The sequence below is a fragment of the Homo sapiens genome, chromosome 5 (genome assembly GCF_000001405.40).
Source record: "Homo sapiens chromosome 5, GRCh38.p14 Primary Assembly".
NCBI lineage: Eukaryota > Metazoa > Chordata > Mammalia > Primates > Hominidae > Homo > Homo sapiens.
In genome coordinates this window covers 120,546,029-120,562,654 of record NC_000005.10, presented here as the reverse complement: position 1 = coordinate 120,562,654, position 16,626 = coordinate 120,546,029, and the positions used below count along the sequence as shown (strand labels likewise).

General features: G+C 34.5%; 1 protein-coding gene across 7 annotated transcripts in view; it reads right to left on the bottom strand.

The window, feature by feature from the left end:
- PRR16 (proline rich 16) overlaps positions 1-16,626 on the bottom strand; it is a 330,317-nt gene that overhangs the window by 231,940 nt on the left and 81,751 nt on the right. The window contains exon 1 of one of the 7 annotated variants that reach the window (XM_011543452.3): positions 11,440-11,513. The gene's annotated coding sequence lies outside the window, so the exon portion shown is untranslated. 7 annotated transcript variants of the gene reach the window in all.

Below are 16,626 nucleotides of genomic sequence, written 5' to 3'. Positions count from 1 at the left end.
AAAACATGCAATGGATACACACACACACAAAGTTAGAAATTAAAACATACCACCAGAGAAAATCACTTTAATTAAAGGGAAGTCAGGAAGGAAGAAAAGAAGGAAGAGAAGACTACAAAACAATCAGAACATAAATAACAAAATGTCAGGAGAAAGTCCTACTCATCAATAATAACATTGAATGTAAATGGACTAAACTCTCCAATAAAAAAACAGAGTGACTGTATGTATATAAAAAAAGTCACAGTAATCTGTTGCCTACAAGATATACACTTCTCCTATAAAAATACACATGGACTGAAAATAAAGGGATGATAAAAAATGTTCCATGACAATGGAAACCAAAAAAGGCCAGGAGTGGTTATACTTATATCAGAAAAAATAGATTTCAAGAAAAAAATATTTAAAAAGACAAAGGAGGCCATTATATAATGATAAAGGGATTGATCCAGCAACAGAATACAATAATTATAAATATATATCCACCCAACACTGGAACACACAGATATATAAAACAACTATGATTAGAGCCAAAGAGAGAGATAGACTTCGATACAATAATACATGGAGACTTCAATATCCCATATTCAGGATTGAACAGATCTCCCAGACAGAAACTCATCAAAGAAACATCAGACTTAATCTGCACTCTAGAGAAAAACAATAAACCTATTATATTATATTAGTCTGTTCTCACGATGCTGATAAAGACAGATCTGAGGCTAGGAAGAAAAAGAGGTTTAATAGGCTTACAGTTCCACTTGGCTAGGGAGGCCTCACAATCATAGTGCAAGGCGAAAGGCACTTCTTACATGACAGTGGCAAGAGAAAGAATGAGGGCAAAGAGAAACAGGTTTCTCCTTATCAAAGCATCAGATCTCATGAGACTTATTCAATATCATGAGAATAGTATGGGAGAAACCACCCCATGATTCAATTATCTCCCACTGGGTCCCTCCTACAACACCTGGGAATTATGGGAGTACAAGTCAAGATGAAATCTGGGTGGGGACACAGAGCCAAACCATATCATAGACATTTACATAACATTTTATCCAAAGGCTACAGAATACACATTCTTTTCTTCAGCATATGGGTCATTCTCAAGAACAGACTGTATGTTAGGGAACAAAACAAGTTCTTAAAATATTCAAAAAATTGAAATACTATTGAGAATCTTCTCTGACCACAATGAAATGAGACTGGAAATCATTAAAAAGATTAATGTTGGCAACAAAACAAAGACATAGAAATTAAACAATACACTCATGAATGACCAGTGAGTAAATAAAGAAATTAAGAAGAAAATTGAAAACTTTATTGAAACAAATGATAATGGAAACATAACATTCCGAAACCTATGGGATACAGTGAAAGCATTCCTAAGAGAAAAATTTATAGCTATAAGGTCTACATCAAAAAAGAAGAAAAACTTCAAATAAACAACCTAATGATGCCTCTTAAAGAACTAAAAATGAAAGAGCAAACTCAACTCAAAATTAGTAGAGAAAAAGGAATAATGAAGATCAGAGTATAAATAAATAAAATTAAAACAAAGAAAACAAAAAAATCAACAAAGCAAAAAATTTGTTTCTTGAAAAGATAAAATTTACAAACCTTTAGCCAGACTAATCAAGAATGAAGAGAGAAGACACAAACAGAATCAAAAATAAAAAAGGAGACATTGCAACTGATACTTCAGAAAATCAAAGGATCATTAGTGGCTACTATGTACAACTATATGCCAATAAACTGGAAAATCTAGAGAAAATGGATAAATTCCTAGACACATACAACCTACCAAGATTGAACCAGTAAGAAATCCATAACCTGAACAGACCAATAACAAGTAATGAGATCAAAGCCATAATAAAAAGTCTCCCAGTAAAGTGTGGGACCCAGTAGCTTCATTGCTGAATTCTGCCAAACATTTAAAGAAGAAATGTTACCAGTCCTACTTGAACTATTCTGAAAAATATAAAAGAGAATACTTACAATCTCATTCTATGAAGTCGGTATCACCCTGATACCAAAACCAGAAAAAGACACAACAAATGTAAAACTACTGGCCAATATATCTGATGAATATTGATGTGAAAATCCTCAACAAAATACTAGCAAACCAAATTCAACAATACATTAAAAACATCAATTATCATGACCAAGTGTGACTTACTCCAGGGACACAAAGATGGTTCAACGTGTGCAAATCAATCAGTGTGATACATCATATCAACAGAATGAAGTACAAAAAAAAAGATCATTTCAATTGATGCTGAAAAAAACATTTTATAAAATTTAACATTCCTTCATGATAAAAACCCTTAAGAAACTGGGTATAGAGGTAATATATCTCAACATAATAAAAGCCACATATGGGAGACCCACAGCTAGTATCACACAGAACAAAGAAAAAACTGAAAGCCTTTCCTCTAAGATCTGGAGCATGACAAAGATGCACACATTCACCACCATTATTCAACATAGCAATAGAAGTCCTAGCTAAAAAAATCGGACAAGAGAAAGAAATAAAGGGCATCCAAATTGGAATGAAAGATACCAAATTATCCATGTTTGTAGATTATATGATTTTATATTTAGAAAAACCTAAAGACTCCACAAGAAAAATATTAGAACTGATCAACAAATTCAGTAAAGTTACAAGATACAAAATCAACATACAAAAATCAGCATTTCTATATGCCAATACCAAACATCTGAAAAATAAATAAAAAATTATCTATTTTACAATAGCCATACATAAAGTTAAATTTCACCCAAGAAGTGAAATATCTCTACAAGGAAAACTATAAAATACTGATGAAAGAAATTGAACAGGACACAAAAAACTAGAAAGATATTCCATGCTCCATGCATTGGAAGAATCAACAATGTTAAAATGTTCATACTACCCGAAGTAATCTACAGATTCAACGCCAATTCCTATCAGAATACTAATGACATTCTTCAAAGATACAGAATAATAATAATAATTCTAAAATTTATATGGAACTACAAAAGACCCAGAACAGCCAAAGCTACTCTGATCAAAAACAATTACCAAAAACATTACCTTATTTCTGATTATACCACAGAGTTATAGTGACCAAACAGTATGGTACTAACATAAAAACAGGCACATATAGCAAAGAAACAGAATAGAGACCCCAGAAACAAATCCACACATCCAGAGTGAACTCATTTTCAACAAAGGTACCAAGGATATACACTAGGTAAGACAGTATCTTCAATAAATCTTCAATAAGTGGTACTGAGAAAACTGGATATCTATATGCTGAATGAATGAAACTAGACCCTTACCTCTCATCACATACAAAAATCCAATCAAAATGGATTAAAGACAAATCTAAGACTTCAAACTATAAAACTACTCAAAAAAATATTCGGGGAACTCTCCTGGACATTGGCTTGGGCAAAAATTTCTTGAGTAATATCCCACAAGCATAGACAACCAAAGAAAAAAGAAACAAACGGGATCACATCAACTTAAAAAGAAACAATCACTGCACTGCAAAAGAAACAATCAATAAAGTGAGGAGACAACACATAGAAGGGGAGAAAATATTTGCAAACTACCCATCTGACAAATAATTGACAACCAGAACATAAAACGAGCTCAAACAACTCTACAGGAAAAATAATAATAATCCAATTAAAATGGGCAAAATATTTAAATAGATATTTCTCAAAAGAAGCCATATCAGTGCCAAACAGGCAAATGAAAAGGTGTTCAACATCACTGATCATCAGAGAAATGCAAATCAAAATTACAGTGGAATATAATCTCTCTAGTTGAAATGGTTTTATCCAAAGGCAAGCAATAACAATTGCTGGAAAGGATGTGGAGATAAGGCAACACTGGTACACTGTTGGTGGGAATGTAAATTAGTATGACCACCATGGAGAACAGTTTGGAGGTTCCTCAACAAACTAAAAATAGAGCTACCATGTGATCCAGCAATCCCACTCTAGGTATACACCAAGAGATAGGAAATCAGCGTATCAAAGAGATATCTGCACTCCTATATTTGTTGCATCACTGTTCACAATAGCCAAGACTTGGAAGCAACCTAAGAATCCGTCAATAGATGAATGGATAAAGAAAAGGTGGTACTTATACACAACGGAGTACTATTTAATCACAAAAAATAATGACATCCTGTATTTTCTACAACATGGATGGAGCTGGAAGTCATTTTGCTAAATGAAATAAGCCAGGCATAGAAAAACAAATTCACATGTTCTAATTTGTAGTAACTAAAAATCAAAACATGATGAGTTCATCATGGAGACAGAGTGTAGAAGGATGGTTACCAGAGGCTGAAAAGGGTAGTTGGGGAAGAGTAGTGGGTAGGTGTGGATGGTTAATTGGTACAAAAAATAATTAGAAAAATGAATAAGACCTAGTATTTGACAGCACAACAGGGTGACAACAGTCAAAATAATTTAAAATTGCACATTTAAAAGAACTAAAAGAGTATAATTGGATTATTTGTAAAACAAAGGATAAATGCTTTAGGAGATGGATACCCCATTTTCCATGATGGGATTATTATGCATTGCATGACTGTATCAAAACATCTAATGTACCCCATAAATATACACACCTACTATGTACCCACAAAAAATTAAAAACCCTGAAGATGGTAATATGCTTAATTTCTAACAAGAACCTATACTTTGTGCTATTAAATCTAAACCTTAACCCAACACCTTACGTCCTCCCCCTCTCCAAATTTGAAATATTTTCTAAACATTATGAGGTTCCAAGTAGCATGAGTTCCAAAATGATTTTTCAGAAGTATCTACATTAAAGCATGTTATTTCAAGAGATGCTAAATAATTTCAAATTGTCAATAATCTATCAGATATGGTTCATATTGCTTTTTCAAAGTATTTAATGGATTGAAATGTAATGATATATTAAAATCCATAGTTAAGAATAAAAAGAGACCATAGGAAATGCAACTATATGTAATCAAACCCTTTGTTTTGCATGAGAAAGTGAACCACCAGAACTACCAAAGAGTTGCCCAGAGTCACAAAAATAACTAATGACAGGGTGAATTATTTGAACCCAGATCTTCTGAAACCTAATGCATATATTTTTTCATCACATCAGTGCAAGTTTAATTAGTTGTATTAGTAATGATCATTTGAAGCAATTTGCAAAAAGAACACAGATACAATAAAATCAAATATCATGTAAGTAGAAGAAAATATAAAGAGGGAGAAAAAAGTACATATGTATTATATAGATATATGCAAGTATACATTTAGATTTAGAGCTATACAAACTCTGAGGAAAACTATATCAAACAAGCAAAAAACTGGAAATTACATCTAGAATTTCAATTTTACAATTACTTCCTACTTACTACTGAAAACTTCCTTTTATGAAAAATATATCAATACCTCAGAAAAGACAGATATTTCTTGGTTCTGAGACCTGAAAAATCTTTATGAGTGTTTAAGAAAATTTCCCCCTCTTCATAAACAACACCTGTCTTCAACAGATTTCAAGAAATTAAGAAATTTTATTGTTGTGTGTCATAGCAATCTTCATTAAACACCCAGGGTCCAGTGTTACATCTGGGTCTATAAAGGCTATTCTATAATGTAGTAGAAATGAATAGTGGAGAATCTTCTAAAATAAACATACCCTAGATGACTTTTTTTTTTTTTCATGTAGCAGTTGGGTCTACTGGTTATTTATGGGAACTCTCAGATAATTCAGAGCTGAAAAGAAAGTTGTTTAATACTGTTTGGGGAAAGGACCAGGCAAGTAAGCAAGGATTCCACATATGATTTTGTAGGTTCAGCCCTGAAGAGAGCTGGTTGAGGATTAGTGAGGGCAGAAATCTAGCCAGTTCTCCAGTTTCCAAGATGTGCAATAGGCTAGTCAACCCAGAAGAAGAGGGTTTTTATAATTTATCTGCTCAGAGGGAGTTTCTTTTTACCTGAATTGAATAAAAACATACAAGCTGTGCCAGCAACACTCTTACATGCAAATGGCAAAGATGAAACTGTTGAGAAAATGAAAGAGCCTTGGTTTCCTTTAATTGGTGGTAGTATAAATGAGTATCTACAGGCTATACCAGTATTCTTCTCAGGAAATAGCTTTGCATCTGTTTAATTCTTAAAGCAAATCAAGTCAGTCCCAGAGATGTATACTGGAAAGCAGAGAAATAATGGCCTTGAGCTGAAGGATTGTGATCACGGAAATTATCAACGTAAAAGTCGACATGGGCTCCTGGTTAGTATGAGCAAGACTGCACCCCAAAAAGCCAACTGGATAAATTAAATTACAGATTATACAGACCTCCAGATAGTCAATGGTTTTGTAAATTGCTTAATGTTTTCATCTGGATAGCATGGTACAAAAAAAAAAAAAAAAAAACAATGAAATTGACCCTGGTAGAAATGGCACTAAAAGCTCACTGGTAATTGGAGAATAGGCGAGTTGTTTACTGAAGTTTCTCTTTGGACTTCAAAACATGCTTTCTGTATGTTTTGGAGTAGGAAAAAAAAAAGGAGAGTTGAGATAGTTCTATTCTATGCCATTTAAATTGCAAATTTTCCATTTCAGCATTCTCTGAATCTCAGTATGGTACAGGTGAAAAGTTTGATGTTTATAATCAAAGAATATGACTTAGCTGACATACAACTTCTGTCCATGGAAATAAAGTCTTTTTTAATCAATTTTTCAAGATGAAAACATAAAGGTGACAATGGTTAGGACTGTCTTTCATCAACTAAAACAAAAACCTTACTGTGCCTTATGGGAAATTTTTTTTTTTTTTTAGAAACTCAAACATAAAAAAAAAAAAAACCTTTCTAGGTTATTTAGAAGATTGTGTCTACAATTTGGAAAAACCAGGAACTTACCCATTTTATAGATAGGCCTTATTGTGGACTAAATGTTTGTGTCCTGCCAAAATTCATATGTTGAAGCCCTAACCCCAAAGTGATAGCATTTGGAAGTGGGATCTTTGGGAAGTAATTAGGTTTAGATGAAGTCATGTGATACGGCCCCCTCCTTCCATGATGGGATGAGTGTTCTTGAAGAAGAGAGATCAGATCTCTCTCTCTCTCTCTCTATCTCTCCCACACACACACCCCACCCCACCACCATGTGAGAATACAGCAAGAAGACTTTCCTCTGTAAGCCAGGAAGCAGATGCTCACTCAGAACCAAACTGGCCAGCACCTTGACTTGGAACTTTCTTGCTCCAGAGCAGAGAAATAAATTCCCATTGCTTAAGCCACACGGTTTATATTATTTTGTCGTGGCAGCCTAAGCTGACAGGTCCAAAACAATGTTATTCAAAACTGACTTATTTTTAACAGTGCTCGATTCTTTTCAAATAAATCTTATATGACACCTATGGGATGAAAGAGCTTGTTAGAATATGAAAAATTTGGAGCAGAGAAAATGTTCTGAATGAGAAAATCAACTCTGCCTTCCCATGAATAAGAATATAGCCTTGTGAATGCTGAATTTGCTCAGTAAATTAATAAATAAATAAACACTAGATATTTAAAAGTTTCTCTTGAAAGAATGTATAGAGATTATTAACATAAATCCTCTCAAATTGGCAATATAAACTTGCATAATAATAAAGGAGCAGTGACCTAGCAAGCATTTGGCTTCATCCTCAATGCTAGTACCATGCTCCCCAAATGGAGAGTGTCTCTCTCATGCCTTCCCCTTACTGGAATGTGGAGACACAGAAAGATATGCTGTAGCTGCTTCTGCTGTGTTTAGGTATCTTTCTTGTGTTCAAGAAAATTCTTAAGAAATTATGAGAGGTGTTTCTGGTATGTTCCTTCCTTCGAATCCCAACCTAACTTGCAATGCTTCAGATTATTGTCCTATTAAACTGGGGACAGTAGAGCTACTCTGGCTAATGTAAGCTGGGAAGGCTGGAATCTAGGCTGTTGTGAGACTTACATGAAATACTATATGCAAAATAACTAACGTAAGATCTGAAACATAGTCCCTAGTCACAAATGCTAGTTCTCTTATTTACATCTGACCAGCCTTGTCCCCATTCAGGCAATAGAATTGCCTCTCAGATTGAATCCAAGTTGCAATTTCAATTTTATTGTTACCTTTTCTTCCTATCCCTGAATTCCTGTATTACTATTCCATTGTCTCATACCTTCATTAAATATTAACAAAACAATCCTTAAAGTCCTTTAATACCTAGTTTTGTTTAAAAAATGTTTGCCCATTCTACAGTTACATAACTAAATTTTTAAAATATTAGTTTAGTATTTTAAATCCTCTGTTAAATGTGTTCATGATTTCTGCCCACCATTTCAGATGGTAATCTTGTAAATGATCTTGTAAATGTGACAAGCAAATAAATACTATATATTTATGGACACCCCCGTAAAAGAAAGCACAGAGTATATTGGCAAATATCCTCCCAAGGTGAGTTTGCAAGGAGAACCTACAAAATCTTAGATGACAGTCCTGCCTACGCATCTGGTTCTTTCCACACAAGCATTAAACAAACTTGATTTTAAAAATTTGATTCTAAATTTCAGTATGTTTACTATTCTTTCATGATTGTGTATTATCTGTGAATTTAGTTAGTATTCATTCCATGGATTTAACTAATTTTAAAAAATGTTAAAAAGGGACAAAACAAAACAGAATTTACTGCAGCATGATTAGAGAAGGTGTTGGCAGTTAGACTTAAGTAGAATATTTACTGAATTCCTACTGTATGACTTGCTAGAAAATTTCCTATATCCAATCTCATTCAATGACTACTATTAGTTGATATAATCTGAGTATGTTTTTTTCCATTGGTAATAATATACCAAGTTGTAATGTCGTTGAGGTTATTATTTCAAGCATGATAATTGATTGTGGTGTAGAGAACTAGAAAAAATTCAACACACAATCAGAATTGCGGAATGAAAGACGGTTATTATGTCTGTATGTGTTAGTAACATATTACATATTGCTTTGAAACATAATAAGAGATTACCAACTTTTGAAAATGATTCACTCATTGCTGTGAGTTTGGCTTTAAAATCTCTCTGCAAGAATGTGAAGAAAGAAAAGATTATAATGATCTAATGATCTTACAAATACCTTGTGAAGACAATGGAGTATATTTACCTTGAAAATAAAGATATTCAGATTGAAAATTATTTTTTAAACAAGAGAAAGTACTTCCACAACAAAATCAAGAAGCTGCCAAAATTCAGGCCTGCATGCATCATTATTTGGAAAGATTATGTGTTTGATAAACTGTGGACAATAATCCAAAACAATCCTTCTTCCTGGGTTTGAGAACAGTCCTTCCTATGTAACATGAGACCCTTTGTAAAATGCCTCACTAATATCAAGTTATGGCGCAGACTAGTCCTTAATTTATTTTTTAGTAGTCCTACCAAACATTAAATGAATGTGATGAGATTAGTTCTTAGGGAATCTACAATATACTCTGGTCATCACTGCTTTTTTTTTATATCCTCAAACCATGGTTTAATAAATCCATGTAGAATTTTGCAAGAATACTAACCTTTATATACCTTTCATTATATTTTATTTTTCACTAAAGGGAAGAAAATGATTTAAAGGGAAGTAGTCTGAGTTCGGAGTTATGTGGTCCATTCTCTGAACTATGTCATCCAGAGGGTTGAAAATATTTAGTGAAGATCATATAACTGGTTAGTTGCAGAGGTAAGCTCAGACCTCAGGTCTCCCCATTTGAATTCTAATCTTTCACTATCAACATGCAGGGAATGACTTTCAAAGTCAATAGGAAATGTGTGCCAAATAACTTCAGGTATGACACATTATTGAAACAAAAACAACAGTCATGATGTTCTCAAAGATTTCATCGGCAAAATTTTCATTACCGTAAGATACAATTTGCATAAGCTTAGAAAATTGCAGGAAAAAATGCATGTGGTTCATTTCCACAAGGATGCTCCACAACCAAAAAATATGGTTTAGTTTATATATGAAAAATACTAGTTTTTGATTGACAAGAATGTTCTAAAACTGTTTTTGGCTAAAAACAAACAACTACGTCAGTTTTTTCAGAACAAGCTAGAAATAATCTATATATAATCAGAAAATATATTCTTATTTGCAAGTTTATCTTAAAATGATATAAATGGGATAAATTCTAAATAGTAAAAATGATAAATATTGTGTTTCAGTAACTGCCTTACAATTTCCATCTGACTTTGTCCAAAATAATATGTACACCTTATTGTTTTGACTCCATTTATAGTTACTCTATTTTATAGGTCATATTTATGATAATCCCAGCAAACGTCAATAAGAATCAAGCACCTAGTTCCCAGTGCAATCACTGGAGGCAATATAATGAGCCTGAAAAAAGAAATACCTCCCAATGACAACAATGTCTTTTTAACCGTGTCAATAAAAAGAGCCATGGGAGGTTTTGAAAAATATAAATTGAATCTTGACTCAGTATGAACTTCAGAGGTTCACATGATCTTCTGAAAATGGTTCACTCATTGTATAGCCTGCCACTACTATGAAAGATACATGTCACTTTTATATGTCCTCAAATGTCATAGAGGATTGTGAATTGGGATCTGAGAGGATGTCTAACACTCACTTCTATTTATGGCTCCTTCAGCAAGAAAGTTATTTTCTGGTCCTAAATGAGAAAGTAAGTCCATGAGATGCTCTGTATATCCTGAGCTGAATTCTTGGTGAAAATATTCATCCATGAACTCAAATAGTGGCTATTTATTAAATGTAGAAGACATGATGCTAGCATAGCAAGAGACCCTGTTCTACCAAGTCAGAGAACCTACTAGTATCTTCTCTCTAGTGAGCCAAGCAACCCTTCCAGTGCAACCGAGGTCTTTCTCCACACCCCTGCATTGACATTAGTTCCACATCAACAGCAGTTTCTCTTCAGCATGTTCATCATATCCTACATTTATATACATGCACAGGTCTTAACCACTGATCAAAACAATCATTGGTAGTTCGTAGAAAACATTGCATTTAACACACAGTGATATTTGCTAAAGCTTAACTTTAAGTTTGACTTATTTCCAGTATACAAAAGAAACTACCATGCATTCATCATACATTGATTATATGCCAGGCCCTATGCTAAGAGAACAACAACTTGATGAGGCAGTTCTTATTATCCACATTTAATAGACGATGAAGCGGCAAGTGAAATGATATAACCGGCTAACGGTCTCACAACCAGTTAGCGAAAGAGCCGGCATTTTAACTTAAGCTCATCTGACTATAAAAGTCAAATTTTCATTTGTCTTTTAAAAGAAGAAACATGGATGAACCTGGTAGATATTATGCTAAGAGAAATAAGCCAGACTCAGGAAGACAAATACAGCATGATCTTATTTATATACAGAATTTTAAAAAGTAGAACTCACAGAAATATAGAGTAGAAGATTTCCAAGGATGACAGGGAAATGAAGACATGTTGTTCAAAGGGTGCATAAGTTCTGGAACCCTAATGCACAGCACAGTAACTATAGTTACAGATAATAACGTATTATACAGTTGAAATTTTTAAGAGAGTAGATTTTCCATATTCTCATCACACACACACAAAGTTAACTATGTGAAGTTATACATATGTTAATTAGCTTGATTGTATGAATCACTTCACAATGTCTACATGTATCAGAACGTCACATTGTATACTTTGAATATATACAATTTTTTGTCAGGTATACTTAGTAAACTTGAGTAAACAAAAAGGAGAAACGGTATTGAGAGCTGGTAAAGAGGAATGAAAATACTGAAATAATCAGGCATCTGCCAATTTCTGTCCTTCCCTGCTTTAGGCACACTGAATTTTAAAATTCATGTTAACAATGAGAAAGGAAGGAATGAGGGTTAAGAAAAACACAAAATAATGGTGGAAATGGCTATGTTGAAGGTATTATGCTGAGCACTTACACAAATATTAATTAATCCTCTTAGTGTTGTTTCTATTTTCCAGTGGGGAAGTCACTCCATAACAGCACCAGGATTCAAATCCAGGCCTGACTCAGAGATGATGCATTTTTCAAACACCCTTTTACTGCATGCGTTGAAGTCCACTCATTTCTGTCGGTCTTAATCAACACAAGAGGCAATGGAAATGTTCTTCCTCTCATCAGAGTGGAATAGGAGTGTAGCTGCTCTCTAAAACTTTATTTCATCTTCAGTTATTCACCACTGAACTCAGGAATGCCCTACACCCTGTGCCTGTAAAATTAACATAACCCACACTTTGTCACTTACTTCTTTGGGCTTTTCCATATTTGTTACAGTCAAGTAATTTCTATTCTACTCAATTTTTTTGAAAAACTAAGACAAGCTATTCAAACCCAACATGCACATCCATTATTTCTCAAAAAATGTTGGGATGTCTCGAACTTCATATTTAGAGTGGTTATTAAGCAGGAATACAGGACTATTTGCTTGAAGATGCTTTTCTAGTAATAATGACAAATAAATGCTATGGGACTTCCTGTGCAATATCTCATTTTTCTAATAACATTTTTATGAATCACATTTTCTCTGTTTAGCATATACTAATCTCCTCTTGTCATTCAGTTAATTTTGATACATTCTCCAATTTCTTCTAGGAAAGTTTTGATCTGATTTTCCTGAGTAGGCCACATCCCCTTAGTCATCCTTTACCATGTTTATGAGAGTTACAACTGTACATTTCTGTGAGGAATTATAAAATTTTAGTACCTCAGGATAAAACATAAACTCCAGAAAGTCAGAGACTTGACTACTTTTACTCTGCATTGTATCCCTAGGTGTCTGGCAATGTTTCTGTGGATAGTACGTGTTCCAAAAGCATTTGTTAAATTAATTAATTTTCAAATTAATCACCTAAAGTCAAGGTAAAACAAATATGTACCCATAAAATATAATAAGCTTACGAGATTTGAATTTTACTGTAATTGTTAGTGTCCCACCCTATCTACTTTAGCCAAGACATGTTTAGCTCCTAAATTATAAGATGTTCTGAAGGAAAGAAAGGAGGCCTGCCTGAGTCCTGCAGACAATGAAAAAATAGTGGAAATGTTTCTGTAAATAGAAAGACCAGAGATAAAGAAGGGTCTTACAACCCAGTCTGAGATTTTAGTTGATGGAACAGACCACAGAGAGCCACTTCCAATTCTTAATAATGGAAGGACACATTGGAATTTGTGTTTTGAAAAGGTTATTCTAACAAGTGTCTCTTTTAAAGAATAAAGGAGCCTGGGCCCTGGGTGTGGTGGCTCACAACGATATTTTCAGCACTTTGAGAGGTCAAGGCTTGTGCCCAGGAGTTTAAGACCATGGCGATATGCCATCTCTACAAAATAAAAACAAAAAAATTAGCTGGGTGAAGTGACACACACACATACACCCAGCTACTTGGGAGACTGAGGCAGGAGGATCACTTGAACCCAGGAAGTAGAGGCTGCAGGGAGCAGTATTCACCCCATCACACTACAGCCTGGAGGAGCCTCTCTCAATCAATCAATCAATAAAAGAGAAACATGCAAGTTTAGGCAACTTGGAGGTATGAGGAAAACAGGTCAATATGCTCTTTTAGAATGGCAACTTGGCTTTATAATAGGAAACGAAGTCAAATGGATATATGAGTGTGCATGTGTGTGTGTGTGTGTGTACATGCATGAAAAGACAGTAAGAGGCGACAGTTTATTTTCAGCATGTCTCAATGTTTTCAGCACTCAGGTATCAGTGCGTTTAAACTCAGTTCGATGCATCAAAATCAAATTTGTGGAATCATACTAAAAACAGATAGGATGGCAGTCACGCAGTGGTGTATATCACTGTCTGTTCCCTGATTCCTTAGTCACCTCTTGGCCAATAGCAAGTCAGACGCCTTCACAATGATACATTACAATCAATCCATGAAAAGAACATGTCAAGCCCTAATTTATTTCCAGTTCTACTGATAAAAGATAGTTCCAGGACAACAAAAGAACAAGCACAAAACTTGAGGGCTAATAGTAACATCTGACCCTTAAAACTGAAGTTACTCTGTCATCCAGAAAGAACACAAACAGCCTAAAATAACTGAGTTGTTATTTTTCTAGACACTTCCCAATTTATCTTTATAACAACCCTGATTCAACTAAAGTGAAAAAGTTACGCTTAGCCAGTAGTGAAAAGTGCACACTATTTTTCAATATTTTTCTTTTGATTATTGATTGTTCTAAAAATTTGCTCAAAGAACTGTAACTAAAGGCTAGCTGAGCTTTAAGGAGAGACTTGTATAAGTGTAGCAATAATGTAAAAATGCTGAATAGAAAACATTGACATATCTACCTCCAAAAAATAATGTCTGCATGTGCTCAGGTAAGCAAGCATTGCTGAGTATCAAGAAAGTGAATATATTTACAGTTGGTTACTGAGAAGTAGGTACAGTTTAGGAAACAAAGTAAATGGTTATGTAAATCATGTCTGATCTATCTACAGTATTTGAAAATAGGGCCATACATTTTTGTGTTTTTTTCTAAAATCAAGGTTCTTTACTTGAAAAACACTTTCTACTGTCCTCAGTATCTCTTTAGACTTAGCACTGTCATTGCCAGCAAACAGAGGCTGAGGAAACTCATCCTAAATCTATAATTTATCATAGTTATTCATCATAAAGTTTGGTATTTTTATTCTCATTATCTGGCTTTTTTTTCATATTGCTAAAGTAAACTTCTATGAAAATTGAATAACATGTCTCATCTACTGCCTGTATGGGTGCATTCTTTTTATAAAAATTGGTAAAGTCATTGGGCATTTTAATCAATTTCTGAAGAAATAAGTATATATTATATCCATATAGACTCAGAGATCTTCACACTCCTTTGAATGTTTACAAGTCTCACAGTATGAAAGGACTTGCTGTAGAAATTTTTAAGTATTTTCAAATAAGTAAGTACTTTGCTCACTTCAGTGACTGACATTCTGTTCTTTTAACATCCTGTGGCAGATAACAAAACACAACCTTGTTGTTATCAATATGTTCTTACAGATAATGCCAAAAGATAGTAGCTACTACTGTAAAAAAAAAAAATGAAAATGCATCGAAATGAGGATAATTTGCCTTCCAAGGGCAGAAACACATATAAAAGTAAACAGAGGCTCTAAGTTTAGAGAGACTCAGCCAACCTTCTTAAGTAGGCCATGAGTGTATGGGATTCGGTGAAGTATCCTTGTTTCCTGTCTCACTTGGAAACCAAGATTATATACCAAGAATTTACATATTGCCACCCACCCATTTTTAAAGTACTTTCTCAGGAATAAAGGATTTAAGACTCTAGGAGTATTTTGCCAGCCTTGGAAATGGATAATGGTTTGGGCTCTTTAGAATTCATCAAGGCCTGCTTGAGGTAGGAGATAGGCCTCACTTTTTTTCTGGTTCTGAGCATGCTAATTGGAGTAGGATCTGGTCAATGAGTAAGCCAGGTAAAGCCTGGAGATGGTGACAAAAGGAATCTCTAGTTGCCCTAACTGCTCATTAACATGAAGACACTCCCACTTCCCTCCAGCACCATGACAATTTACAAATGCCATGGCAATGCACCATAGCAACATCTCAAAACTTACCTTTTATACTTCCAGCAACTCCCCATCTCTTTTCTAGAAAGTTCTAAATGACCTTCTCTTAATTGGCATGTAACTAAGAGTGAGTATCGATATAACTAGCCGATAGCCCATATACTGCCACTCTGGAGACACGGCCTATGGGTTAGTGCTGCTAGGCAAGGAGAAACATCTCTACTGAACACTTAATAACATTGCTTTCTTTTACCAGTGGGCCACCCTTGAGGTCTTTTCTGGGTGAAGCCAAGAACCCTTCCAGGCTAAGTCCCAGTTTGGGGGCTTGACTGCCCTGCATCACTTCCATTGAGATGACTGAATTTCCATGTTCACTCTCAATTCTCCTAAGAACTGAAAAAAAAATCTCTAGCTGAATCCTTGTTCATCTTCACACTGTGTGCTTTTACTTCAGCAGATTAAGCAGTGTTAGTTGACAAATCATGATACCTGTCTCCTCAAGTTAAACACTGACATGCAGGGATGATTTCAAACTATATAGCAATCAATTGACCAAATCAGCCATTCAGAAACAACCTGGGCCTGAGCACAGGGCCATGCTGTTGCTGGTTCCTGCTAATAACAGGCAATCAAGAATCTTCTAGTTTTTAATGATGGAAGACCTGTTGAGGTACTGGGGAGAGACTTTGAGTGGTAGGGAGGGAGCACTATGGAGCAACAACTGATTTTGATTTATAAAAATTTGCAGTATTTTCATAATCCACCAGGTACATCATTACCATTGTGTATTGAATGAATATTAACCATGCTTATGTATATAACCATTCCCACTGTATTCTAAGAAGTGTGGTGATGTAATTATCAGCAGATTGTGAGTAGATCTTTGTTACACTAAATATGGATATAGAGCAACATGATACTTAAGAGCATGGGCTCTGCCACTAACGTTGCAACACTGTTATTAACTCCAGCTTCCTTACTAGTAAAATGAAAGTGATAAAAATACCCTTATGCCAATGGTCTCAGAATTAATAATGTATGAAAAT